The sequence below is a fragment of the Homo sapiens genome, chromosome 19 (assembly GCF_000001405.40).
Source record: "Homo sapiens chromosome 19, GRCh38.p14 Primary Assembly".
Lineage (NCBI taxonomy): Eukaryota > Metazoa > Chordata > Mammalia > Primates > Hominidae > Homo > Homo sapiens.
Genome location: NC_000019.10, coordinates 18105855 through 18132060, shown reverse-complemented (window position 1 = coordinate 18132060; position 26206 = coordinate 18105855). Strand labels below are relative to the sequence as shown.

At 55.3% G+C, this 26206-nt stretch overlaps 1 protein-coding gene across 42 annotated transcripts in view, besides 10 other annotated features; it reads right to left on the bottom strand.

Annotated features, from left to right (window-relative positions):
* MAST3 (microtubule associated serine/threonine kinase 3) overlaps positions 1-26206 on the bottom strand; it is a 53910-nt gene that overhangs the window by 19627 nt on the left and 8077 nt on the right. For 3 of the 42 annotated variants that reach the window (NM_001393509.1, NM_001393512.1, NM_001393518.1), the window contains exons 2-15: positions 24443-24474; positions 10288-10376; positions 10139-10208; positions 9934-9954; positions 9310-9388; positions 8687-8844; positions 8406-8481; positions 7913-8122; positions 7695-7796; positions 7287-7419; positions 3603-3661; positions 3110-3195; positions 1359-1567; positions 14-152 (exon numbers count right to left, since the gene is read on the bottom strand). In NM_001393509.1, the coding sequence (NP_001380438.1) occupies positions 14-152; positions 1359-1567; positions 3110-3195; positions 3603-3661; positions 7287-7419; positions 7695-7796; positions 7913-8122; positions 8406-8481; positions 8687-8844; positions 9310-9388; positions 9934-9954; positions 10139-10208; positions 10288-10376; positions 24443-24474 (1463 nt within the window). Of the gene's footprint in view, positions 1-13; positions 153-1358; positions 1568-3109; positions 3196-3602; positions 3662-7286; positions 7420-7694; positions 7797-7912; positions 8123-8405; positions 8482-8686; positions 8845-9309; positions 9389-9933; positions 9955-10138; positions 10212-10287; positions 10377-13806; positions 14075-21319; positions 21410-21694; positions 21886-22409; positions 22820-24442; positions 24475-26206 lie in introns of those variants that run through there. The other 39 variants (NM_001393501.1, XM_047438476.1, XM_047438474.1 and 36 more) reach the window with 20 other exon arrangements.
* Positions 8702-9901: an enhancer, noted in NCBI's record as "BRD4-independent group 4 enhancer chr19:18232970-18234169 (GRCh37/hg19 assembly coordinates)". NCBI's record gives its function as "activates an origin of replication core promoter dependent on BRD2, P300/CBP, MED14 and CDK7 cofactors, and independent of BRD4, by STARR-seq in HCT116 cells {active_cell/tissue: HCT116}" and the evidence as "EXISTENCE:reporter gene assay evidence [ECO:0000049][PMID:35650434]".
* Positions 13289-14160: an enhancer, noted in NCBI's record as "H3K27ac-H3K4me1 hESC enhancer chr19:18228711-18229582 (GRCh37/hg19 assembly coordinates)". NCBI's record gives its function as "activates a minimal SCP1, AML or CMV promoter by ChIP-STARR-seq in primed H9 embryonic stem cells {active_cell/tissue: H9 hESC(primed)}" and the evidence as "EXISTENCE:reporter gene assay evidence [ECO:0000049][PMID:30033119]".
* Positions 13289-14352: a biological region, named in NCBI's record as "H3K27ac-H3K4me1 hESC enhancer GRCh37_chr19:18228711-18229582".
* Positions 13753-13802: an enhancer, noted in NCBI's record as "active region_14299". NCBI's record gives its function as "activates an Ori minimal core promoter by ATAC-STARR-seq in GM12878 lymphoblastoid cells {active_cell/tissue: GM12878}" and the evidence as "EXISTENCE:reporter gene assay evidence [ECO:0000049][PMID:35858748]".
* Positions 13893-14352: a silencer, noted in NCBI's record as "silent region_10372". NCBI's record gives its function as "represses an Ori minimal core promoter by ATAC-STARR-seq in GM12878 lymphoblastoid cells {active_cell/tissue: GM12878}" and the evidence as "EXISTENCE:reporter gene assay evidence [ECO:0000049][PMID:35858748]".
* Positions 21355-21534: an enhancer, noted in NCBI's record as "active region_14298". NCBI's record gives its function as "activates an Ori minimal core promoter by ATAC-STARR-seq in GM12878 lymphoblastoid cells {active_cell/tissue: GM12878}" and the evidence as "EXISTENCE:reporter gene assay evidence [ECO:0000049][PMID:35858748]".
* Positions 21355-22184: a biological region, named in NCBI's record as "H3K27ac-H3K4me1 hESC enhancer GRCh37_chr19:18220925-18221494".
* Positions 21377-21946: an enhancer, noted in NCBI's record as "H3K27ac-H3K4me1 hESC enhancer chr19:18220925-18221494 (GRCh37/hg19 assembly coordinates)". NCBI's record gives its function as "activates a minimal SCP1, AML or CMV promoter by ChIP-STARR-seq in naive H9 embryonic stem cells {active_cell/tissue: H9 hESC(naive)}" and the evidence as "EXISTENCE:reporter gene assay evidence [ECO:0000049][PMID:30033119]".
* Positions 21795-21844: an enhancer, noted in NCBI's record as "active region_14297". NCBI's record gives its function as "activates an Ori minimal core promoter by ATAC-STARR-seq in GM12878 lymphoblastoid cells {active_cell/tissue: GM12878}" and the evidence as "EXISTENCE:reporter gene assay evidence [ECO:0000049][PMID:35858748]".
* Positions 21875-22184: a silencer, noted in NCBI's record as "silent region_10371". NCBI's record gives its function as "represses an Ori minimal core promoter by ATAC-STARR-seq in GM12878 lymphoblastoid cells {active_cell/tissue: GM12878}" and the evidence as "EXISTENCE:reporter gene assay evidence [ECO:0000049][PMID:35858748]".

The following is a 26206-nucleotide window of genomic DNA, read 5'->3' as shown; positions in this document are numbered from 1 at the left end:
TAGCTCAGCTCACTTGTCTGGTTTGAGGTCACGGTGCACGATGCCATAGTTATGCAGGTACTCCAGCGCCAACACCGTCTCGGCGAAGTACAGGCGGGCCATGTCCACGGGCAGCGGGCCCATGTTCTTCAGGAGCGTGGCGCAGTCGCCGCCTGGGAGAAGGGCGGATGTAGTCATGAGGCCCGGGGCACCCCCGCCCCCCGCCCGCCCCTTAGGTTATGCCCAATGCCTATGCATCCTCCTCGCTTTACCTCCTGCAAAAGGTCCCCAGTTTGTTCTATCTCAGCGGGGAGGGTCGGGGGAGAGGGAAGGGGCGGACCCTACCTTCATTTATTTTTAATTTTTTAATTTTTTCTTCTTTTTGAGAGAGAGTCTCGCTCTGTCGCCAGGCTGGAGTGCAGTGGCGCGATCTCGGCTCACTGCAACCTCCGCCTCCCGGGTTCAAGCGAGTCTCCTGCCCCAGCCTCCAGAGTAGCTGGGATTACAGGCGCACACCACCACACCCAGCTAATTTTTGTATTCTTAGTAGAGATGGGGCTTCACTATGTTGGTCAGGATGGTCTCGATCTCTTGACCTCGTGATCCACCAGCCTTGGCCTCCCAAAGTGCTGAGATTACAGGCGTTGGCCACCGCGCCTGGCCTATTTTTTAAATTTTTATTTATTTTTTTGAGACAGAGTCTCACTCTGTTGCCCGCTCTGTTGCCCAGGCTAGAGTGCAGTGGCGCAGTCTCGGCTCACTGCAAGCTCCGCCTCTAGAGTTCAAGCGAATCTCCTGCTTCAGCCTCCCGAGTAGCTGGGACTATAGGCGTGAATGGGGGTTTCGCCATGTTGCTTAGGCTGGTCTCGAAGTCCTGACCTCAAGCGATCAGCCCACTTCGGCCTCCCAAAGTGCTGGGACTACAGGCGTGAGCCAGCGCGCCAAGCTGAGACCCTGCCTTCTGATTCTCCCCGACAGGGCAGCAATTAGTGCTGTATACAGCTGGTGTCTCCTAAGTGCATGTTCGCTCTCTCGCCTGGCAGTACTTTGGTAATAGTACTTTACCTGCCTGAACCATACATCTCCCTGCCTTCACTTCTGGTCTCCAGGCCTCTGCCCATCAGTTCCCCCCACCTAGGATGGCCACCCTCCTCTTGCCTCCAGGGTCCCATCCTCACACACTCCTGTCTGGGCTCCTCCAGCCCTAAACCCCCATGGCTGGGCTCCCTACCCCAGACTGGGGTTCCTGAGGGTTCCCCAAAGCAGGGTGAGACCTCATGGAGGACAGAACAGACCTCAACTTGGTCTAAAAATTTTCTCCCAGGCGTGGAGGGGTGAGCTCCCCATCGCTGGAGGCATGCAAGCCCCAGTGAGCGTACCTTCCACGTATTCCATGACCATACATAGGTGGCGCCGGGTCTCAAAGGAGCAGAACATGCTGACCACAAAGGGGTTCTCGGCAAAGGTGAGAATGTCACGCTCCACAAAGACCTGCTGGATCTGGTTACGCAGGATCAAGTTCTGTTTGTTGATCTTCTTGATGGCAAAGCGCTGCCGTGTGTCACGGTGCCGCACCAGGTAGACGGCCCTGGGGACAGAGGGCCAGGCTTGCTGGGACCGGAGATCGAGGCCCCAGCAGGCACTACAGCTCAACTTGAGCCCAGATCCCAACCTGCCTGGCCTTTGCCTGTGCTGTGCCCTCCACCTGGGCCACCCATTCTCCTTACCTGTTCCCCCTCCCAGAGCAGCCACCTTTGGGTTTAAGCCACCATGGCTGGGGGCCATATAAATGGGCTGCACATGGCCCTTGTATATTGGCCTCTAGGTTGTATGTTTCTTTTATTTTTATTTTATCTTATGTTTTTTGAGATAGCGCCTCACTCTGTTGCCCAGGCTGGAGCACAGTCATGAGATCACGGCTCACTATAGTCTTTACCACCCCCCCGGCTCAAATGATCCTCCCACAACAGAACCTGGCTAATGTTTAAATTTTTTGTAGAGATGGGGTCTCGCTATGTTGTGGAGGCTAGTCTCAAACTCCTGGCCTCAAGTGACCCTCCCACTTCGGGCTCCCAAAGTGCTGGGATTATAGGCGAGAGCCACTGCACCTGGCTGCTTGTGTATTTCTTTCTTTCTTTCTTTCCTTTTTTTTTTTTTTTGAGATGGTCTCACTGTGTCACCCAGGCTGGAGTGCAGTGGGGTGATCTCGGCTCACTGCAACCTCTGCCTCCTGGGTTCAGGTGATCCTCCAACTTCAGCCTCCCAAGTAGCTGGAATTACAGGCATGTGCCATTACGCCCAGTTAATTATTCTATTTTTAGTATTGATGGAGTTTTGCCATGTTGCCCAGGCTGGTCTCGAACTCCTGGCCTCAAGCGATCCTCCTACCTTGGCCTCCCAAAGTGCCTCCGCACCTGGTCTAGCTCTTTTAAAAGACCGCTAGCACCAAACTCAAAGTTTTACACATCCGTTTGTTTTACACACAGACCAAGTAAGCAAAATTTTAGCCACTGAGAGCCTGTCTGCTTTGCAGACTCGTGAAACTGCACCATCTCTGAGCCATGGATAAGATGAACTTTGTGGATTTCAAGACCCTAAGCTGCTACCACCCTGCAGGGAGTCTCTGACCCAGAGATTGAGTGCCCATGCTGTTGAACAACATCACCTAGACATGTAAGCCCCCTCTCTGATCCCCCTCTGCCCGGGGAGTTCCCTTGCCGGCCTCTCCCTCTTGATGGTGACTCCTGGAACCTCAGCCTCCAAAAGGCTTATGCTATGAGGGACTTCCCTTGTATGCAAGCCTGCCATTCAAAGCAGCACCTAAATAAAGCTCACTGCGTGCTACTCCCACTGGGTGGGCATCTATTTCCTTGATCAGCCCCCAAGCCCCTAGAACGCCCTACACCTGGGGCAGGTAAAGGCCTGGCTCGTGGACAGAGCACACATGAGGCTGTAACCTCGCTATGGCGTGTCTCCACTTCCCCCTCCAGTCCTCAGGTGCCTTCTCTGCCCATTCAAGGATGAATGTGTGAGCCCTGCTGGGGTAGGAGGGGGATGCAGGAGCTGCCTGGGCCTCAACCATCCCCTCAGGCATCTGTGAAATGGGTCTATGCAGGACTCAGGGACTCACCCATAGGCTCCGTTGCTAATGAGTTTGATGGTCTCAAAGTCGCTTTCGCATGGCTTCCTCCGTGACTGGCCGACCAGGGCGCGGCTCTAGGGGATGGGAAGGGCTTAGGGTCCTGCCCCGCTGCAGAGCTGGGAAGGCTTCTCCTGCCCCCAAGCCCAAACCACTGGTCCTGGTGCCCGATGCTACCTCCTCCCCTGTCCAAACTTCTCCAACTCAGCTTCTGACTTTCTGTACTTTTTTGCTCACAGCTGTGCCCTCCTCCTGGGAAATTCTTACACGTCCTGCAAAACTCACCTGTCCAGTGCCCCTCCAGCACTGCCCCCACCCGACTTCCAAGGCAGGGCAGTCCCACGTGCCGTCACCTTGCCTCCAAAGTCACCGATGCTAATTAAGCTACATGCAAGACCTCGGCAAACCCAGCCCTTTCTGCGGGTGCCTGGTCCACTCTGGAAAGAACAAGATGAGCGGGGGTCCCCCAGCCTCTGCTACTCACCTCTGGGGACTCAGGTGCTGGGGGCTGTTCTTCTTCGAGGTGACTCAGTGGCACCATCTCTGCAAGATGAGGGAGGAGGCTCAGCTGGAGCCTCCCTGCCTCACCCTGCATCACCCAGCAATTTCCTGAGGCCTCTAGAGTTCTCACCCCAGGCTGGGGATGCAGTGCCTCCCCTGACCAGCTCTCATGACACTGTCATGAAGCCACATCCGGGAGGCTGGATGAAGCAATGACTTAGGAACCTTCTAGAAGGGCCAGTGGGCTGCCCTGGCTCTGAAGTGCTCAGTCATGATCAAACTTAGGCTCTGAGCCTTGAGCCTGTGAAGACGGGATGAGACACAGGCCCCCTGGGTGTCAGCTCCTAACATCTTCCTCAGCTCAGGGTGCAGCCCAGGTGGAGGGTCCAATATGTTCTTGCCCCAGGCCTTGGCAGAGGGGCAGCCCCTAGCGAATGCCTGGCAAACATGGTCCAGCCACAGACCACATGTGATCTGGCCTTAGGTACACCTGGGTTTGATTCCCTGCTCAGCCTTATCTGCCTGGAGCCTCAGTTTCCTCAGCTTTATTTTTTATTAGTATGATTATTTAATTTATTTATTTGACATGGAGTCTCGCTCTGTCACCCAGGCTGGAGTGCAGTGGTGTGATCTCAGCTCACTGCAACCTCCACCTCTTGGGTTCAAGTGCTTCTCCTGTCTCAGCCTCCCAAGTAGACGGGATTACAGGCGTGTGCCACCATGCCCAGCTAATTTTTGTATTTGTATTTTTATTTTTTGAGACGCAGTCTCACTCTGTCGCCCAGGCTGGAGTGCAGTGGCGAGATCTTGGCTCACTGCAACCTCCACCACCTGAGTTGAAGAGATTCTCCTGCCTCAGCCTCCCGAGTGGCTGGGATTACAGGCGCCTGCCACCACACCTGGCTAACTTTTGTATTTTTAGTAGAGATGGGGTTTCACCACATTGGCCAGGCTGGTCTTGAACTCCTGACCTCAGGTAATCCGCCTGCCTCGGCCTCCCAAAGTGCTGGGATTACAGGTATAAGCCACTACGCCCAGCCTAATTTTTGTATTTTTAGTAGAGACAGGGTTTCACCATGTTGGCCAGGCTCGTCTCAAACTCCTGACCTCAGGTGATCTGCCCGCCTTGGCCTCCCAAAGTGCTGGGATTACAGGCGTGAGCCACCGCACCCGGCCAAGTATGATTATTTCAGAGACAGGCTCTTGCTCTGTCACCCAGGCTGGAGTGCAGTGGTGCCATCATGGCTCACTGCAGCTTCAGTCTCCTAAACTCAAGCAATCCTCCCACCTCAGCCTCTCAAGTAGGTGGGACTACAGGCATTCACCGCCACGCCTGGCTAATTTTTAAAAATACTTTTTGTAGGCCAGGCGCGGTGGCTCACGCCTGTAATCCCAGCACTTTGGGAGGCAGAGGCGGGCGGATCATGAGGTCAGGAGATCGAGACCATCCTGGCTAACACAGTGAAACCCCGCCTCTACTAAAAATACAAAAAATTAGCCGGGCGTGGTGGCGGGCGCCTGTAGTCCCAGCTACTCGGGAGGCTGAGGCAGGAGAATGGCGTGAACCCAGGAGGCGGAGCTTGCAGTGAGCCAAGATCGTGCCACTGCACTCCAGCCTGGGCGAGAGAGCGAGACTCTGTCTCAAAAAAGAAAAAAAAAAATTACTTTTTGTAGAGATGGGGTCTTGCTATGTCACCCAGGCTGGAGTGCAGTTGTGCGACCATAGCTCACTGCAGCCTCAAACCCCTGGGCTCAAGCAGTCTTCCCACTTCAGCCCCGCAAGTAGCTAGGACTATAGGCATGTGCGATCATGCCTGGCTAATTGTTTTTTTAATAGAGACGAGATCTCAGTATGTTGCCCAAGCTGGTCTCAAACTCCTGGCTTCAAGTGATCCTCCTGCCTTGGCCTCCCACAGTGCTGGGATTACAAGTGTGAGCTACCATGCCGGGCCTCCCCAGCTTTCAATGGGGACAGTGGCAGGTCAGTCCCACTCCAGGTATGGTCCAACCTTAGGGTCTATGCCTATGCTGCCTGTTTCACTCTTTCCTTTGGATCTGCAACCTGGTCACCTCCTGCCCTCCAGGCCTCAGTTTGAACACTGCCTCCTCCCAGAGCCTCCCCCTGGCTACTGCTGGACCAGGCTAGGTCCAAGTTCAATGCTCCAGCTTTCAGTTCCTCTTATCCTGGCTATTTGTGGAAATTTTTTTTTTTCTCTTTTTGAGACAGGGTCTGGCTTTGTCACCCAGGCTGGAGGACAGTGGTGTGATCATAGCTCACTGCAGTCTCAACCTGCCAAGCTCAAGCGATCTTCCCACCTTAGCCTCCTGAGTAGCTGGGACTACAGGCGCGCACTACTACACCCAGCTACATCTTTTTTTTTTTGAAATGTAGGCTCACTCTTTCACCCAGGCTAGAGCACAGTGGCGTGATCTCGGCTCACTGCAACCTCTGCCTCCTGAGTTCAAGCGATTCTCCTGCCTCAGCCTCCCAAGTAGCTGGGATCTACAGGCACATGCCACCACACCCGGCTAATATTTGTTTTTAGTAGAGATGGAGTTTCTGCATATTGGCCAGGCTAGTCTTGAATTCCTGACCTCAAGTGATCCACCCGCCTCAGTCTCACAAAGTGCTGGGATTATGGGATTACAGGCGTGAGCCACTGCACCTGGCTGGCTGTGGGAGTTGTTTGTTTTTTTTTTTGAGACAGAGTCTTGCCCTGTTGCCCAGGCTGGAATGAAGTGGTGTGATCTCGGCTCACTGCAACCTCCGCCTCCAGGGTTCAAATGATTCTCCTGCCTCAGCCTCCCGAGTAGCTGGGATTACAGGCACACGCCACCACACCCGGCTAATTTTTGTATCTTTAGTAGAGATGGGGTTTCACCATGTTGTCCTGGCTGGTCTTGAACTCCTGACCTTGTGATCCACCCACCTCGGCCTCCCAAAAGTGCTGGGATTACAGGCGTGAGCCACCGCACCCGGCCGGCTGTGGGAGTTTTTGACCGTCTTCTTACCTACGGGTTGTCCTGTTTGACTCCAAGTTCACTTTCTGGGCCACAGTAAAGGCCACAGAAATTGGTAAAGTCATTTGTGAATTTGCAGGACAAAGGGAAGGCCACTGCTAACACTGGTCCCCAGGCTTCCTGACCATCTTAACGTGGCATTTGAGGACACTGAGGCCCCTGGGCCCCAAAAGATCAGAGGGTCTCAGCATAATTCCCACAGGTGACCTAAGAGCAAGGCCACAGAGAGACAAAGAACAGTGCGGTGGTTCTGGAATCGGATGGGCCTGGGTTTGAATCCTGGCTTCATCTGCCCTTTCTTTTTTTGTTTTTTTGAGACAGGGTCTCGCTCTGTCGCCCAGGTTGGAGTGCAGTGGCGCGATCTCAGCTCACTGCAACCTCCATCTCCTGAGTTCAAGCAATTCTTGTGCCTCAGCCTCCTGAGTAGCTGGGATTACAGGCATGCGCCACCACACTTAGCTAATTTTTGTATTTTTAGTAGGGGGGGGGTTTCCACCATGTTGGCCAGGCTGGTCTCGAACTCCTGGCCTCAAGTGATCTGCCCGCCTTAGCTTCCCAAAGTGCTGGTATTAAAGGTGTGAGCCACCGTGCCTGGCCTCCATCCGGCCTTTCCCAGCCTTGGTTTCCTCTTCCCATCCCGGCTTACCCTCCAGGGGGTCCTTGGCCAGGCCCAGCTGCCCAATGATGTACTGTGGAAGGTCAGTCTTAATGCCTTGGCCCTCCCGCGCATGGCCCTCAGCCGCCTCCAGCAGGTGGTAAAATTCCTCAGGGTCAAACTCCTAGGGGCACAGGAGGGCTGGTCACCCAGGGCTTGGTTCCACCTGCAGGCCTCTGCACATGCTGTTCCCTCTGCCTGGAGCACCCTTCCCAGCTCACCCACTGGGTCTCCACTCCCGCTGCCTCCTTAGGGAAGCCCACGCTAGCCCAATAGCACCCTGTGTTCCTCTCAAAGCCCTACACGATGGGAACTGTCACCTGTATCTTGGCAGGACTGTTGTGGTCCCAATCTCAGTTCTGCCTGGACCCCAAGCTGGCCGTAGAAAGAGAAACTTACCAGACACTCCAGCAGCCGAGCTGGCCGTGAGATGATGATCAGCAGTTTCCGGACAAGCTGGACGATGAAGCTGACCTCCTCACTGTCCGAACGCTCATGGGCCTGGGGGAGGTGGGTCGTGGCATCACCCACAGGTCCTCAGCACCGTCTGGCCTGGGGACCCCCCTCACTCCACGTCCCACTGCATGCAAAACCTCAACATGCGAAAAACCACGCACATCCTGCAGAAGCCGCTCCAGCTTCTCCTGCATCTCTAGGAAGTAGCGGGAGGTGACGAGGTTCTCGCCAGACTTGGCCAAGCAGTCTCGGGCCAGCTCGACGATCTGGTGGTGGATGAAGCCCAAGACGCCATCAGCCAGCGCCAGCCGGGCGCCGGGCGCGTAGGCCGTCAGGAACTCCTGCAGACGGCCCTCCATCTGTGCTGTGGCCTGGGTGGGGCGAGACGGGGCGACCTGGTCAGAGGGCGGGGCTGGAGTGACACACGCAGAATGGGGCAGGAGAGGCATGGTTGGGGAGAGAGGAGATGGGGCAATGGGGCGATCGGGTGGGAGGGCTGGTGCAGGAGGAACGACATCTTTCAACGGAAGGGGAAGGAAAGACAGAAATGAACAGACTGGCAAAGGGGACATAGCCAGGAAGACAGAGTTCCATGGAGGGACAGCAATGTGGAAAGAAGTGCAGGGGCTGGTCCAGCCGCCAGGCGCTGCCCACCTTGGGGAACCTCTCCCGGTACACGTGATTCATCATGACAATCTCATTGTCGAAGGTCCCCGTTGCACGGCCCGGGCTGAAAGGAAGACAGCTGGCTTGTGATATGGGACCTGAGACCAACCCCAGGGGAGGATGTTGGGGGATCTGAGCCAGGGTTGAGGGACAAGAATCAGAGGCTAGGCTCAGGCAGGGTCAGGGCTGGGGTGAAGGAGGAGCCACAACTTGGGCCTCCACACCAGCCCAGGGAGGGGCCGGGGCTGGGGCCAGAGGTCGCGGCCCACCTGAGACTGCGAGAGCGGGGTCGGAGGCGGGGTGACCGGCCGCCTTCCTCATCAAGCACATTCTCTGAGCTGCGGAAGTGCTTGGACAGGAAGTGCAGCTCGTCCGGCGTCGGCTGGAAGGGAAGCTGGTGGAGACGTTCCCGGGAGGATGAGCTTGACTGGTAGAGAGTGGTGGGGATCAGAGCCATGAGTTCACCGTCAGTGCTGTGGCCAGGAACCCAGCACCACCCCTCAAGGCCCAGGCTGCCTGCTGGCCATCAGAAGGTAACATCCTTTCTCCTGCCTAGCTCCTATGCATCCCTCAAAACCCTAGCTCTGATGCCCTCTCCTCCAGGAAGTCCTCTCTGCCTGTACCCCTGGGCAGCCCCAAGTCCCCCTCTGGTCAGGCCCTGACCCCATAGGCTGAGGATATCTGTATCTCCCCAACCAGGGACTATTTTGGGGCCAAGGCTGGGTCTTCTCAGGGGACCCTGCATTTCCCAGAATGGGGCGTGCATGGAGGAAGTAACTAGTATGTTTGCTGACTGCACAACTATCCAACACCTTGAAAAAAACACACAAAGATGTGTCCCCCCACAACCCGGCATCTGCCTGTCCACCTGCCAAGGTGGGGCTATGGGTACCGAGAGGGTGGAGCTGGGTGTGTTGGTTCCATAGCCGGAAGATGGGAGAGACGCGAGGGACCATCTTCTGCCGTCTGCCCTGGAGAGGGGAACAAGAACAGATGGAAGGAAGGCCTGGCCCCTGTGGTTTGTGGGGACTAAGAACAGACACTGTGGCCAGCATATTCTGGCCCTGTTGTAGGAAGGATCTCCTGAAAATAACCAAGAACAGAGACACAGGCTGACCAAGTCCACTGCATGCTCTCTCTCTTTAGGTACCTCTTCCAGGAAGCCCCCCCGTGAGTCCAGCTGCCACTGTGTCCCCTGTCAAAGCTTCAACCTCTGAGCTGTAGCTTCTGGGGCACACATTGACCACCCCCCACCAAACGGAGGACTCCCCAGGGGCTCAGGGCCAGCTGCCCATTTGCGACCATGCCCTCAGCCCGCAGCACAGAGCATACACACAGTGGGTGCTTAATGAATGTTGTTGTATGAATAAATAAATGAAATGCAAGCGTCTGGCACATGACAGGTGCTCAATCAGCTCTTGTTAAGTGAATGAATGAATGATTTCTTTAGTGAGTTAATGATTCTTAGGGCTATATCCCCCCATGACCCCCCACCCCCTGGGCTGGTTGAAATTACCTGTCCATGCGTGGGATGTGGCTGCAAGATGGCATGCATTTGCCGGGAATGGGAGCCAGAGGGGGAGACCACCACCAGACGGGCCAGGGGAGGGGAAAAGGTGAATGAAATGAATGAGGAGCCAGGTCTAGCCACCGAGCACGTGCCCCTGCCCAACCCTTGCCCGTGGTGCCCGCACTGTCTCCCAAAGCCGGCAATCACTCACCTCCGGGCAAAGGGGAAATTTAGGGCAGAGGCAGCCGAGAAATTCCGAGGACTATCCAAGGGGCTGCTGCCTGCTGAGGAGGAGGCGGGGAAACTGAGTCAGCGGGGCAGAGGCAGGACACAGCACCCGCTGGCTGCTCCCACACTCACCCGTTGGGACCGACAATGGCGACAGGGGCCGGGAGAGGGTCGGGGAGGGCGTTCCTACCACCAAGCTCTTGCGGTTCCCGCTGCGGCAGCTGTGGGGGGAAAAGGGGACAGGGTAGGTGGCTGCCCAGGGCCCCGCGCTAAGCCACCTGCCCAGCCTAAATCACACTCGCAGCCCGTTCTGGAGAAGGATGGGATGTTGGACATGGCCACTCCCACTCTGCCCCCAGCTGGGTTCCCCCATGGCCCTTAGCCAGGTCTTCAAGGCCCAGGAGGGAATCACCCCTCAACTAACATTCCTTATTATTGACACTACTGCTGGCCAGGCATGGTGGCTCACGCCAGTAACCCCAGTGCTTTGGAAGGCCAAGGTGGGAGGATCCTCTGAAGCCAGGAGTTCAAGACCAGCCTGGGCAACATAGCAAGACCCCGTCTCTATACAAAATTTAAAAATTAGCTGGGTGTGGTGGTGCACGCCTGTAGTCCCAGCTACTCAGAAGGCTGAGGCAAGAGGATCGCTTGAGCCTCAGGAGGTCAAGGCTGCCGTGAGCCATGATGGTGCCACAGCACTCCAGCCTAGGTGACAGCACAAGGCCCTCTCTCTTAAAAAAACAAAAACAAGGCTGGGCACAGTGGCTCATCCCTGTAATCCCAGCACTTTGGGAGGCCGAGGCATGCGGATCACCTGAGGTCAGGAGTTTGAGACCATCCTGGTAAACATGGTGAAACCCGTCTCTACTAAAAACACAAAAATTAGGTCGGGCATGGTGACTCACACCTGTAATCCCAGTACTTTGGGAGGCCGAGGTGGGTAGATCACCTGAGATCAGGAGTTTGAGACCAGCCTGACCAACAGGGAGGAACCCTTTCTGTACTAAAAATACAAAATTAGCTGGGCGTGGTGATGCATGCCTGTAATCCCAGCTACTTGGTAGGCTGAGGCAGGAGAATCGCTTGAACCCAGGAGGTGGAGGTTGTGGTGAGATCGTGCCGTTACACTCCAGCCTGGGCAACAAGAGTGAAACTCCGTCTCAAAAAACAAAACAAAACAAAACAAAACAAAAAAACCAAAAATTAGCCAGGTGTGGTAGTGCATGCTTATAATCCCAGCTACTCAGGAGGCTGGGGCAGAGAATCACTTGAACCCAGGAGGCGGAGGTTGCAGTGGGCTGAGATAGTGCCATTGCATTCCAGCCTGGGCGACACGAGTGAAACTTCATCTGAAAAACAATAACAAAAACCAACACAAACTATTGGCAGTGTTGTTATTAACAGCAATGGCATGAAGTGCTTCTAGCCTGATGGAGGACACTACATATGGCCAGGAGCCCCTGGACCAGCTTTTCAGGGTTCTGTGTCACAGTCCCACCCCCACACTTTTCCCTGTACCATGGCTACTGCCAGCAGCACCAGCAAATCAGGTGAACCAAACACACCCTGGAGCCCAGATATGGGCTGAGACACCCCATTCTATATACCCCTCTTGAAGCCCCTGCTCCCATCTCTTGACAACCCTCCTTCTTCTCAAGATGCCCCTAAAATGCCAATGTGACCCAACTAGAAACCCTAAATGCAACCTCTTTCACAGTCCTGCCTCTTCTGCTGAACTTTTGCCCACGTTTTCCTCTTTCCATCCCAGTTCCCTTCTGGCCACCAGATCCCTGGCCCAGGTCTCTCACACCCTGCCTGGCTTCTTCTCCCACCTGGGCCCTGGCCTCAGCCCACACCTTGACAGAAGGAAGTTGGGAGCGACACCGTCCCCCGCCCCACCAGAGCAGTTGCCCAGCAACAGCTCTGCTCCACAAGAGCATCAGCCCACACACCCCAAGCCGCCAACGCAGCTCAGCGGCGGGAGAATCTCGCGGGGAGGGAGAGATGAAGTCTCGGGGCCTCCGAGGTGCAGAAATGGGGTCCCAGGCAGAATGCTCGGAGCAGGTCAATCCATGGGAGAACAAGCGTATGATCATCAAAGGACACAGGTGACAAGGTGGGCAGGGAGAAGAGGCCCAGCCTGTCTACGTCTCCACATGTGGCTGCCCCTTGAGCCTGTTTCCTCATCTCTACCTTGAAGGATGAAACCTACCACATCCAGTGCTCAGCTTTGGGTCGGACTCGGGTACATACACTGTTGTCTTTGCCTAGACAATGCTCACAGGGCCTGGCTCACGCCGGGAGGGCAGCCAGTGCCTCCTGAGTGAATTACATCCCCAACATCTGCCAATTCCAACAAGCCCCAGAGTTGGGAATGACCAGCTGAGCCCATTTTCCAGACTGGGAAACTGAAGCCACAGATGTCAACAGTCACAGTGATTGTCTCCCAGCCTGAGCTGCAGAAGCAAAAGTGAAACCCACAGGTTTCTGCAAAACTTCCTGCCAACCCCTCAATGCACGCTCACCTGGCTGTCTCCACATCCTCTCCCAGCCCCTCACCTGGTTCCTCGCCCCCACACTGCACCACCAGCACCCTCCCTCCCCGATCCTGCTGTATCACTTGCTGCTTCCAAAAGCATTTGGGAAAAACACTTCGTTGCCCTCCCTCCTGTTCTTGGGCGAGGTCTTCTTGAAAACACGGCCAAATGTGAGGCCTCAAAGGAGAACTAAGCATCATCTGTTCACTTCCCAAGCATCTATGCAGGGCCGACTGTTTGTTCAACTCTTCCTGGAGGAGATCCAGGACCTCGAGAAGTTGCCATTTGAGAACGATCCTCTCTTGGTACCCAGGACACAACAGAGAGAATGTGGCAGAAAGCAGGGGCCTGAAGCCAGCCTCCTGCACCTCATCCCTCTGGCACCCATATTCCCCCTCCAATGCTCCCCACGATCTTGGAGGTAAGTTTAAGCCCTGGACTCAGCATTCAAGGTCTTTCGGTAGCTGGTCCCACCGCCCAGACTTTGCCCCAGTCCAGCACCAATGAGAAACCCAAGCACAGAGAGGTTAAGGAGCTACTTGAGGTCACACAGCCTGGTAGTGGCTGAGTCGAAATTTGAACCCAGGTCTGGTAGAATCCACAGCCCTCACTTATCCTCTCTGCTTTTCAAAAGGGGAAACTGAGACTCCAAGAGCGGTGAGGCTTTGGCGGGGGTTAACCCCAACTATCTGGACTCCTGACACCCCACCCAAATGCCAGCCTCGTGCAGTAAATATTTGCTTCTGAGCCAACATTTCTGCTGAATGGACCCCCAGCGGCAGATCAGCCTCAGTTTTTCCAAGAAGTTCCTCCCTGGTTCTGCCCAGCCCTGGACACCCGGGTTCAAATCCTAGCTCAATCTCAACTCACTCCTGTCTGTCACCACCCCAGCTGCGACGCTGGCGGACAGACACCCCAGTCCAGGGAACGAGGGGCGAAAGGAGGGTGCCAGGGACCCCAGGGGACACCTCGATCCACAGGCGTCCTCCCCCCTTCCCACTGCTGCCACAGACAGACGCTCGCCGTGGTCCGCGCCACGCGGCCAGGACACACTTCTGGCAACTCCTGTTTGCTCGGCTGGCCGCCGAGCCTTCGCCGGCGCCGTGCCCCCTACCTCTTGGAGCGCTGCAGCAGCGCGCCTTTTGCCAGGCGGCTCCGATGGCCGGGAGCCGCCACCGCCGTCCAGTAGCTGGGGTCGGACATGCTGCTTCCCTTTGTGCCGCCGCAGCCGCCCGAGGCCGGGAAGGGAGGCCTCGGCGGTGGGATCGGCCCCAGGAGCCCCGCGGAGCCGGACAGGGAGGGGGGCGCACGGGGCTGCGGGGATGGGGGGGCGGCGAGAAGGAAGCGCGCGCCCCCGAGCGCGACTGGAACTCCGCCCAGGCGAGTGCGGGGGCGGGGCCGTTGGGGGCGGGGCCTGTCGGGAGGCGGAGCGAGCGACGCGGAAGCGAGGCCGGCGGACCCGCGTGCCGGCGAGTGGGCGGGGCGCTGCCATGGCCGCGGGCGGAGAGGCGGAGCGTTGCTAGGGCCGCGGGCGGCTGAGGCCGGGCGTTGCTACGACCGCGGGCGGCGGGGGCGGGGCGTTGGCAGCACCTTAACCTCGAGCTAGGGGCAGGCATTTTGGCTCCTTTCTGCTAAAATGTAAATCTAATCGCTCCCTCCATCTTTTTCCTCTCTCCCAGAGCACTGACCCCTTCTCAGTGCGGCACCCAAGACCCACCCCAGCGTCCTGGCCGGCTCATGCTACCACGCCCACCCTGGCCCCACTGCTTGGAATCTAGCCTGGCAAAACTGCGTCCTCTCCTCTGAAAAACCCGCTTTCCTGTCTGTCCGGCTATGTCTTCCCCAGGCTGGGGGCTCCTTAGGGTCCCAGCAGCTCCCAGCACCGGACTGGCATAGAGGGTGTGTTTGGCAAATTGAGTCGGGGCGTCTGACATGCTCTGTCTGTGTGTGGCGGGAAAGGCCATCAGCCCTGCCTCAGTTAGGAAGCAGCCACCTGATTGAACTCCAGCCTCAGTCTCCTCAACTGTGAAATTGGAGGAAAACTGAACTGACATGAGAATTACACAAATCAGATGTAAGGGGGCGCTTCCAAGGGCACCTGGTATATGTTCCATATCTATATATAATTTATCTCTATAAACGATAGCATCAGGCTAACTTCCAGGCCTCTGTTTCCCCATGCGTAACATCCCCCATACTGAAAACAGAATAAAATCTGAGACACAGAGCCTGGAACAGGGCTGAGGGTACAATATGTGTTCACTATGGAAGCAGAAGTGTCTCCCACCGTAAGGACTGAATTAATGCTTCCTCCTGTCATGACAGCCCAGGCAAGTCAGGGGCAGTGTCATCATGAGGGATGCCCCTTCCTGGGCCACAGGACACTTTGGGACCCAGTCCAGGCCCAATGCTGGGGCCCAGGCTTCATAGCTAAAGAGACAAATTTTTTTTTTTTGAGACAGAGTTTCGCTCTCGTTGCCCAGGCTGGAATGCAATGGCGCAGTCTCAGCTTACTGCAGCCTCCGCCTCCTGGGTTCAAACGATTCTCCTGTCTCAGCCTCCCGAGAAGCTGGGATTACAGGTGTTGCACCACCACGCCCAGCTAATTTTTTTGTATTTTTAGTAGAGACGGAGTTTCACCATGTTGGCCAGGCTCGTCTCAAACTCCTGACCTCAGGTGATCCTCCCGCCTTGGCCTCCCAAAGTGCCGGGATTACAGGCGTGAGCCACCTTGCCCAGCCAACAGGAAACAATTCAATGAGCAAGATAATTTCGGCTGGGCGTGGTGGCTCACGCCTGTAATCCCAGCACTTTGGGAGGCCGAAGCGGGCGGATCACCTGAGGTCAGGAGTTTGAGACCAGCCTGGCCAACAAGGTGAAACCCAGTCTCTACTAAAAAAAATACAAAATTAGCTGGGCGTGGTGGCACGTCCCTATAATCCCAACTACTTGGGAGGCTGAGGCAGGAGAATCGCTTGAACCCAGGAGGCGGAGGTTGCAGTGAGCTGAGATAGCACCATTGCACTCCATCCTGGGCAACAAGAGCGAAACTCTGTCTCAAAAAAATAAAAAAAAATAAAAAATAAAAGAAATAAAAGTACAAAAGAAATAGCTGGGCATGGTGGTGCATGCCTGTATTCCCAGCTGCTCTGGAGGCTGAGGTGGTAGAATCACTTGTACCCGGGAGGTGGAGGTTGCAGTGGGCCGAGATCACACCAATGCACTCCAGCCTGGGTGATAGAGCGAGACTCCGTCTCAAAAAAAAAAAAAAAAAAAAAGATAATTTCAAATACCAAGGCTGAGAAGGGAAGAGAAAGGAGAGAACACTGCAAGGGGCGACTTTAGCCAGGAGGCCTCTCAGAGGAGGTAATGCTGCAGCCAGCCAGAAATGGAGGAGGAAGGAGCTGGCTATGCAGAAAGCGTGTCCCAGGCAAAGGGCACAACTCTCTGAGGCAGCACTGAGGGCAAAATGCCAGCGGGGCTGACCACATAAGCCTTGTGGGCTGCAGGGAGGAGTGCAATTGTATTGTAGGAGCAATGGGGAGCCATGGAGGGTGCTTGAGCAGAGAAAGGGTATGATGTGGACTACGTTTGTAAACCCCCTTGTGTCTGCTATGGGGAGCAGACTGCTGGGGGACAGGAATGAAGGTAGCAGGAGGCCAGTAAGGGTCTGGGACGGTGTCTGGGAGGGGAATATTGAAGCTGTGGAGAAAAGTGGGTGGATTTGGGACTTGTTTTGAGACCAGGGGAGATGGTGGTTTTGAGACCACCAGAGATGGTGATGAGTATGGGAGTGGTCACCTATGACCCCCAGGTATGCAGCCCAAGCCTCATGCGGGGTGCAGATTCTCTTGAGTCTGGGGACCCAAGTGGGGATGGGGCCACAGTCTCCACTTGCTGTCACTACGTGCTGAGCCACCCCATATGCACGGGGACACACCTTTGCACACACTCGGTAAAGGCGCTGCCCCCTCGTCCCCAGCCACAGCTACACCCAGTAACACCTACACACCCCCTATTACATACACCCACTGCCCTGACATCTGTAGCAGGGAGAGAACCTTCTCCCATGCTCATTTGTCCTCAGTTTCCCCCTCTGCAAAACAGGGCTGCAGCTGACAATCCAGAGGGCCTGCTGCCACGGTGAAGGCCTTCCATGAAAGGCTGGCTGAGCCACTGATCTCTGGTGTCGGCCCACTGCTCCCCAGATCATGCCCTTCCCCCTGCTCACAAACCCTCCATGGCTCCCTATTGCTCTCACAGCAAAACAAAACTGCATTCCTGGGTGAATCCCTCTCCCAGGGGTCATATCCTAGCCCTGTCCCTGACAAACTCTGTGACATTGGCATTTGACTCTCCCTGCATGTGCTGTGACTGTAAATGCCAAAGTCTCAGGTAGATATACAGACACCCCCGTTCAACGGTCCCTTTTTAGTGGGACTACCCCAGCGCTTCCCACCTGCCCATATATCTGTGCCGCTCCCAGCACCACACTCTATGGCTCCTAGTGCCCTAGGTAGAAAATCCACATTCTTCCTGCCCTTGGGATTTGAGGCTCCAGAAGGAAAGTGTCTCTGACGATGCTGTTGCTGCCTGGAACAGCCACTTTGCCTATGAGCGCCCAACTCATGGCCTTCTTCAACAACACCCCCAACCCCCAATGCTATCACTACCACAAGGACAGCCCTCCCAGATACTGCCCATTCATCTAAGCCACATGCATTAACTGAGCACCTGCTGTATACACCCTGGGCCTGCCCTGAGTCTACGATATGACCAGGACAGACAAGGTCTGGTCTCGGAGAGGCTGTCAAACCTCTGGGTGAGAAAAATAACTGGATAATCACACAAGACAATGTGGAAATTAAATCTCTGGGGTTGGCTGGGTGCCGTGGCTTATGCCTGTAATCCCAACATTTTGGGAGGCTGAGATGGGCAGATCGCTTGAACTCAGGAGTTCGAGACCAGCCTGGCCAACATGGTGAAACCCTGTCTCTACTAAAAATACAAAACTAGCAGGGCGTGGTGGCGCATGTCTGTAATCCCAGCTACTCTCGAGGCTGAGGCAGGAGAATCACTTGAACCCAGGAGGCAAAGGTTGCAGTGAGCCGAGATATCGCACCACTGTACTCCAGCCTGGGTAACAGAGCAAGACTGTCTTAAAAAAAAAAAAAAAGAAAAAGAAAATCCCTGGGGTCTGGATGTGGAAATGGACAGGTATAATGCATATTATACCCCATGTTTGTGGGGCCTGGAAGGAGGGGGTGGTTGGGGAAGGCTTCCTATCTGAGGCTGAGGCCTTGATGAGGATGTGACGGAAGAAGAAAGGAGGGAACAGAGCTCTGGGCAGTGGGGACAGCAAGTGCAAAGGCCCTGAGGCTGGACCAGCCTGCATTCTGGAGGATCAGCCATGTGGCTGGAGCCAAGTGAGCGACGGGGAGATGGATAGGATGGAAGCAGGGAAGTTGCAAGGCCAGGCACAATGGCTCATGCCAGTAATTCCAGTACCGTGGGAGGCCAAGGCGGGTGGATCACCTGAGGTCAGGAGTTCAAGACCAGCCTGGTCAACATGGTGAAACCCTGTCTCTACTAAAAATATAAAGATCAGGCCAGGCGCAGTGGCTCACGCTTGTAATTCCAGCATTGTGGGAGGCCATGGCGGGTGGATCACCTGAAGTCAGGAGTTTGAGACCAGCCTGGCCAACATGGTGAAACCCCATCTCTACTAAAAATACAAAAAATTAGCCAGGAGTGGTGGCAGATGCCTGTAATCCCAGCTACTCACGAGGCTGAGGCAGGAAAATCATTTGAATCCAGGAGGCGGAGGTTGCAGTGAGCCAAGATCGTGCCACTTCACTGCAGCCTGTGCAACAAGAGGAAAACTCCGTCTCAAACAAACAAAAAAAACCACCCAAATGTTAGCTGAGTGTAGTGGTGCATGCCTGTAATCCCAGCTACTCAGGAGGCTGAGGCAGGAGACTCGCTTGACCCAGGAGGCGGAGGTGGCAGTAAGCAGAGATCACACCACTGCACCCCAGCCTGGGCAACAAAGCGAGACTGTCTCAAAAAAAAAAAGGAGGCAGGGGAGTTGCAGAGGCTGGACTCTGTTGGGACGTTTATGAGCTTATTCCTAGGATGCTTGGAACATGGCAGGCAGGGACCCATTCCCCCGCCAGGCCCAAGGCAATGTGGCTCTGCTGCCCCCCGGTGGTGAGTGAGGCAGCCTTATGGCCTTTCTCAGTCCCAGATACTTCCTCCCTCCCCTCCCAGTTAAAACTGGTCAAATCTGCTCAGCGGCCTCCAACACACGGGTCCCTCCCTTCATCATGTCCTCACCTGGGGTGGAAGCCAAGGATTTAGACAGAGTCAGATCTGGCCCGAAACCTTCCTAGGATGCTCCTGATAACACATTCTGAGGTCCTATGCCCCTGTTTTCTTCACTAAATGGGGGTGATGGCAGTCTCTGATTCTCAGTGGATGCCTCGACTTGTTCCTGGATGTTGTCCTAGCCACCTCCTTCTCTCTGGCCACCTCCATTCCTGGCCCCAGCAGAACTTTCTCCCCCCAAGGCAGACACAGAGGCTTAAAAAAAATCTCAGGCGGGGTGCAGTGGCTCACGCCTATAATCCTAGCACTTTGGGAAGCCAAGGCGGGTGGATCACCTGAGGTCAGGAGTTCAAGACCAGCCTGGCCAACATAATGAAACCCCACCTCTACTAAAAATACAAACATTAGGCCAGGCTTGGTGGTTCATGCCTGTAATCCCAGCACTTTGAGAGGCCAAGGCGGGAGAATCACTTGAGGTCGGGAGCTCGAGACCAGCCTAGCTAACATGGTGAAACCCCATCTTTACTGAAAATACAAAAATTAGCCGGGAGTGTTGGTGTGTGCCTGTAATCCCAGCTACTTGGGAGGCTGAGGCAGGAGAATCACCTGAACCTAGGAGGCGGAGGTTGCAGTGAGCCAAGATGGTACCACTGGACTCCAGCCTGGGCAACAGAGCAAGATCCCTTCTCAAACAAACAAACAAACAAACAAAAAATTAGCCGGGCGTGGTGGCACGCCTGTAGTCTCCGCTACTCGGAGCCTGAAACAGGAGAATCACTTGAACCTGGGAGGCAGAGGTTGCAGTGAGCCGAGATCATGCCACTGCAGTCCAACCTGGGCGACAAAGTGAGACTGTCTCAAAAAACAAAAACAAAAAACCCACCACCTCAGTCCTGCCACAGGACCTTTGCACATGCAGTACCCACTGCCTGGTGCCAATCTTTCTTTAGCTGTGCCCAGGCCTTGGCTCAAACATCACCTCCCCAAGAGGTCCCTGTCTGAATACATCTTGTTTATCCATTAGTTTTATCACTGAATTCCCTAAGCTGACTGAGAAGTCATTGATGGAGGGACTATGTTTTCTTTATAGCAATGCCTTTAGCACCTGGATCTCAGTAGGTGCCTCATAAGTGCTTGGCGTCTGAAGGAAGGTACCTCCCTGTTGCCCAGCACCCAAATGTGGGCTCTATATTGTTCTCTCTTCTCCCCGTTAAAGGTCTGTGGATGGCCCAGCGTGTGGCTTATGCCTGTAATCCCAGCACTTGGGGAGGCTGAGGCAGAGGGGTTTGCGACCAGCCTGGCCAACATGGTGAAACCCCATCTCTACTAAAATACAAAAATTAGCTGGATGTGGTGGTAGGTGCCTATAGTCCCTGCTACTTGGGAGGCTACAACAGGAGAATTGCTTGAACCCAGGAGGTGGAGGTTGCAGTAAGCTGAGATTGCACCACTGCACTCCAGCCTAGGGGACAGAACAAGACTCTGCCTCAAAAAAAAAAAAAAAAAAAAAAGTCTGTGGAAAGAGTTAAGCAGCTCATTCATACTAAAGTGTAAATGGTTGATGGGCCACATAACTCTAACAGACACCATTGACCTCACATCTGTCCCTCCCTAAACTTTTGCCCAAACCATGAGAGGAGCTCACAAAACTCCTTCCTGTCCTGAAACCTGGCCAGTCACAGAGTCAACCAACTGGCCAGTAGAACCCTCAACAGACCTGGTAGCAAAGCTGTCCCTGATGCTTGGCCCCCGGGGGATGGACTGAATCAGGAAAACTGGCATCTCCTCTCTGAGCCTCAGTTTTCTTAACTGGGAAGTAGGGATCAGGAAAGGGTTAGGGAGCGCTCAGTCACCCTGGTTCTTTTCTCCCGGCGCCACTTTGGTTAATCTCAATTCACAGGGCTCTCGTTGGTGGCCTCTCAGCCTTGGGTGTGCGTGTGTTTTAGAGGGAGGAGCTTTCTCCCTGAGGTCACCACCCAGGAGTCCAGGCCAATTCAGCAGGGAGTGCCCTGAGCCGCTTGGGAATCCGGCACCTGTCTTGGCGAAGTCCTTGGGCAACAGCTTAAGTTCTTCCCTTTCCTTGGCCACCTGTCAGATGCTGGCCTGGCTAAAAATGGAATTTTCCCATTAAGCCCCTAGAACGTATCGCAGTGCCATTATGTGGAGGGGTAAACTGAGGCCCAGAGAGGTGATGTCACCAACCTGCAGTATCTTGAGGAGACCGATGAGTCTGGAGGGTTTCCAAGGCTCTGGGGTGCCAGGGCGATGTCTGCGCCCCGCCCACACGCGCTGTCACTTACCTCCAGGGGTGCAGGCCCAAGGAGGGGCTACAGGGGCTGCAGGGGCTGCTGGGACCCAGCAGGGACGGGCTCTGGCTGCTCGGAGACAGACTGCAAAGAAAGAGGCCGGGGACGGTGAACCTGGCGGCCGCCCCTTCGTGTGGCCGAATCCGGATCTCCGGATGGCGGCTGCGGTTCCCTCAGGGAGTAGGGGCCCAAGACCGGGGATTCTGGGTTCAGCTCAGGACGTGAGGGCGGGGCCAGACCGATGGCCCGGGAGGGCTCCCCGGAGGCGGCGGTGCGTTTCTGGGCGACACGAACAGAGACGTGGGGGGAGGGTAGTTGTCATCCTGTCCTCCCTGCACCCCGCATACCCCCGCCCTGCCCAACACTCACTCGAGGGTCAGCGCCGGGATGTGCAGCTTGTCCCTGCGGGACTTCATGCCGAGGCAGAGGCCGCCTCTGTGCGGCGGGGTACCGACGCCCCCTTGTTGGCCCCCGGAAGCCCTGATCGTGGCGCGAGCGGACCGACGGACGGACACACGGACGCAGGGACAGACGCCTGGCTGGTGCGGCAGACTAGACGCGGGGGCTGGGCCGCTGGGGGCCGGGCTGGCTCCGCCTCGGGGCGGGGATCGCAGCTCCGCACCTGCGCGCAGGCCCGGCCCGGCAGCGAGGGTCGCGCAGCGGGAAAGGGGAGCCGCGGGTGCCGCCCTGTCTGCCGCAGGGACGCCGAGGCCGCCGGCTTGGGAGCCCCCGAGCTGCGCCCCGGAAGGGAAGGGCGGTCACTGGCTCCGCGGTCCGCGCGATTGCTCCATGGCCTGACCCCGCCTCTCCCCGCCCCGGCCCGGCCTCTGCCCTCGCCCCGGCCCTGGGGCTCTCTGGGAGCCGGGATCTGAGCGCAGTCCGCCCCAACTCCCCAACCCCGCATCCCGGCCAGCTGCTCAGCACTGAGGTCCTAACCCGCTCGGGTCTCCGCATCCCCGCGCACACTAGAGGCTCTGACCACACCTCCAGTCCCTGGCTTCCAGCTGTTTCCTCTGCCAGGAAGGTCGCCCCCTCACCCATATACGATCCCAACCCCACCAGCCCCTCCTCCGCCAAGCTGTACCTGCACCCCCACCAGCACCAGGCGCCGCCAGCTCTGTCCTTCCTCCCTCTCAGCGCAAACCCCACGGTCTGGGGGTGTCTGTGTCTCACTCTGGCCCTCTTGAGGCCCCGGTGGACCCAGTGGGGCACAGGGAAGGTGGCAGGGAGTGGACATCCCTTGTGGAGTCTTTGGCTCTGTCCTGCCCCAAGGTCCAGGACTTTGCCCTCGGCAGTCCTCATTGATTCACGGTCCAACACTCTGCCCACAGCTTGGGCCAAGGCTGGAAACAGTGCCGGCTCTCGGGGCAATGTCCCAGTCCCCCAGCAACCCCCAACCACTGGGGCCTTCAAGCACCTCCCCACCAACTGTATCATCCCCACTGGAACAGAAGCAGATGGCCTGGGATTGGGGGCCACTCTGACCCCATTCCCAGGACCTCCTCCTTCTGTCCTGCCACCTCATCTCCACTCACTCCACTCAGCTACCCTTGTCTTCATGCTGTTCTTCTAACGCCAAGCATACTGGCACCCCAGAAACTTTGCCCAAGCTGTTCCTGCTGCTTGGAATGCCATTCTCCCCAGACTTCCCCGCTGCCAGCTCCTCCTCTTCTTCCAGATCTAAGCTCAAAGGTCACTTCCTCCAAGAGGCCCCAGATCTTCAGGATAAAGCCACCCCCAGCACCTCTGTCTCTTTCTCTGGTTGAGCTCTCTCCTGAGTACAAAACTTCAACCATTGCTCTGAGATTGAATTGTCTGTATCCCCTCTGGCTTCAGCAGGGCCCAGTGTACAGCAGGTGCTCAAAAAAATGTTCATTGAGTGATTCCCACCCCCAACTCAGGCAAAAGCAGCTCCCAAAGATGGGGTGTCCACAGTCACACACTTCCAGACCACTAGCTCAAGGAAAACCCCTCCCCACCCCGGCCTTTGGTTTCTTTCATCTGTAAATGAATGAAAGCATTGAACAATAATGTTCTCTAAGATTTGGGGATAAAAAATGGTAACCTAGACTGGGCATGGTGGCTCATGCCTGTAATCCCAGCACTTTGGGAGGTTGAGGCAGGCAGATCGCTTGAGTCCAGGAGTTTGAGACCAGCCTGGGCAACATAGTGAGACCCTGTCTCTACTAAACATACAAGTCAGGTGTGGAGGCTCGCATGTGTAGTCTCAGCTACTCTGGAGGCTGAGGCGGGAGACTCTCTTGAACCTGGGAGGCAGTGGTTGCAGTGAGCCAAGATGACACTACTGCACTGTACTATGTGGGTGACAGAGAGAGAGGGACCCCGTCTCAAAAAGAAAACAAAGCAAAACAAAAAAAAAAAAACCCAACCTACAGGAACACTGATGTGATCCCGAGAGAGATGATTTTTTTCTTTTCTTTTTTTTTAGACAGAGTCTCACTCTGTTGCCCAGACTGAAGTCTGGTGGTGGGAGCCTGGTTCACTGCAATCTTCACCTCACTTCAAGCGAATCTCCTGCCTCAGCCTCCTGAGTACCTGGGATTACAAGCGAGCACCACCACGCCTGGTTAATTTTTTTGTATTTTTAGTAGAGACGGGGTTTCACCATGTTGGCCAGGCTGATCTTGAACTTCTGGCCTCAAGTGATCTGCCTGCCTCAGCCTTCCAAAGTGCTGGGATTACAGGCGGGAGCCACCGTGCCTAGCTGAGAGATGATTTTCTGCTGGTGTTCCCCAAAAGGAAGTGAGCTCCCCGTCATGAGAGGCATTCAAGCCAGTTCTAATACACTTCAGCTGAAATTCAACATCTGGACTCTGGATTCCAGACAAGTTTCTCTCCTTCCCAGCTGAGTGTCCTTAGCTGGTGATGAAACCCCTTTGCACCTCAGCTTCCTCATTTGCAAACTGGCATGGCCTCCCATGTTTGTGGTGAGAGGCCAGGTGCTTGTGAAGCACTTTGCAAACACGAGGGCAAGAATGAACATGAGATGTGTTGCTGTAATTATTAAATACATTCACAATTCAGTGGCTGTTGCTGAAATATCCACTTCCAAGACCACTGGGGCCCACCCAGCCCGCCAGTCCCAGGTGAACTCACCCACGTCCTCGGCGTGGCAGGCTCAGCTCCTTCTGCAATGAGACAGAAATGGGGATCATTCTCAGAGAGACTAGCCCTCAGAACCCCTGGCCGTTGATGCACCCCCACAATCCCCAATCCCATGCCCCAACCAATGCATCTTTCCCGCTCACTCTACACACTGGCTCAGCCCTGCCTCAAGGCCTTTGCGCTATCTGTGCGCTCTCTCAGAACAGCCTTCCCTCCCTTCTGGCCCTAATTAACTGCAGCTCATACTCCAGATCTGAACTCAACATCCTTTCTTCCTGGAGGCCCTCCAGATTCACAGTCTAATTCCCCACCCGGCTCCTACCATACCTGCATTAAAAAATATTTTAGGCTGGGCACGGTGGCTCACACCTGTGATCTCAGTACTTTGGGAGACCAAAGCAGGAGGGTTGTTTGAGCCCAGAAGTTTAAGCCAGATTGGGCAACATAGCAAGACTACATCTCTACAAAACTTTTTAAAAAAATTAGCCAGAGTAGGCCGGGTGCGGTGGCTCACACCTGTAATTCTGGCACTTTGGGAGGCCAAGGCGGATGGATCACTTGAGTTCAGGAGTTTGAAACTAGCCTGGGCAACAGAGTGAAACCCCGTCTCTACAAAAAAAAAAAAAAAAAAAAAAAAAAAAAATTGCTGGGCATGGTGGCTCAAGCCTGTACTCCTAGCTACTTGGGGGGCTGAGGTGGGAGGATTGCTTGAGCCCTGTCTCCAAAAAAAGGCCGGGCCGGTCAGGCGCAGTGGCTCATACCTGTAATCCCAGAGCTTTGGGAGGCTGAGGTGGGCAGATCACCTGAGGTCGGGAGTTCAAGACCAGCCTGGCCAACATGGTGAAACCCCATCTCTACTAAAAATACAAAATTAGCCAGGCATGGTGGTGGGTGCCTGTAATTCCAGCTACTTGGGAGACTAAGGCAGGAGAATCGCTTGAACCCGGGAGGCGGAGGTTGCAGTGAGCCGAGGTCACACCATTGCACTCCAGCCTGGGAAACAAGAGCGAAACTCCATCTCAAAAATAAATAAATAAATAAATAAATAAATAAATAAATAAATAAATAAGAAGGGCCAAGTGCGGTGGCTCATGCCTGTAATCCCAGTACTTTGGGAGGCCAAGGCGGGCAGATCACAAGGTCAAGAGATCAAGACCATCCTGGCCAACATGGTGAAACCCTGTCTCTACTAAAAATACAAAAATTAGCTGGGCGTGGTATTGCACACCTGTAGCCCCAGCTACTCGGGAGGATCGCTTGAACCTGGGAGGCAGAGCTTGCAGTGAGCTGAGATGGTGCCATTGCACTCTAGCCTGGCAACAATGAGAGATTCCGTCTCAAAAAAGAAAAAAAAATTAGCCAGGTGTGGTGTTGCACGCCTGCAATCCCAGCTACTCAGGAGACTGAGGTGGGAGGATTGCTTGACCCCAGGAGTTGGAGGTTGCAGTGAACTATGATAATACCATTGCACTCTAGTCTGGGTGACAGAGCAAGACTCTAAGTCTAAAAAAAATTAATAATAATTTTATTTAAAATTACCAATTAGTTGTATTTATGAAGAAGTATGTCAGTAGTGGCTAAAAACTAATAATCTGTTGAGAAAACAGAGATTCCTGAGTTGTCCTCTCCCTGTCCCATCTCAGATGTCCCTCTCCTCCTGGGTCTAGGTCTGAACGCCATTCTCTCCTCACTCGCTGCAAAGCCTATGCAGGTTTGGGCCCTGGGTACCAGTGGGGGCGTGGGGAGGACGGCTGA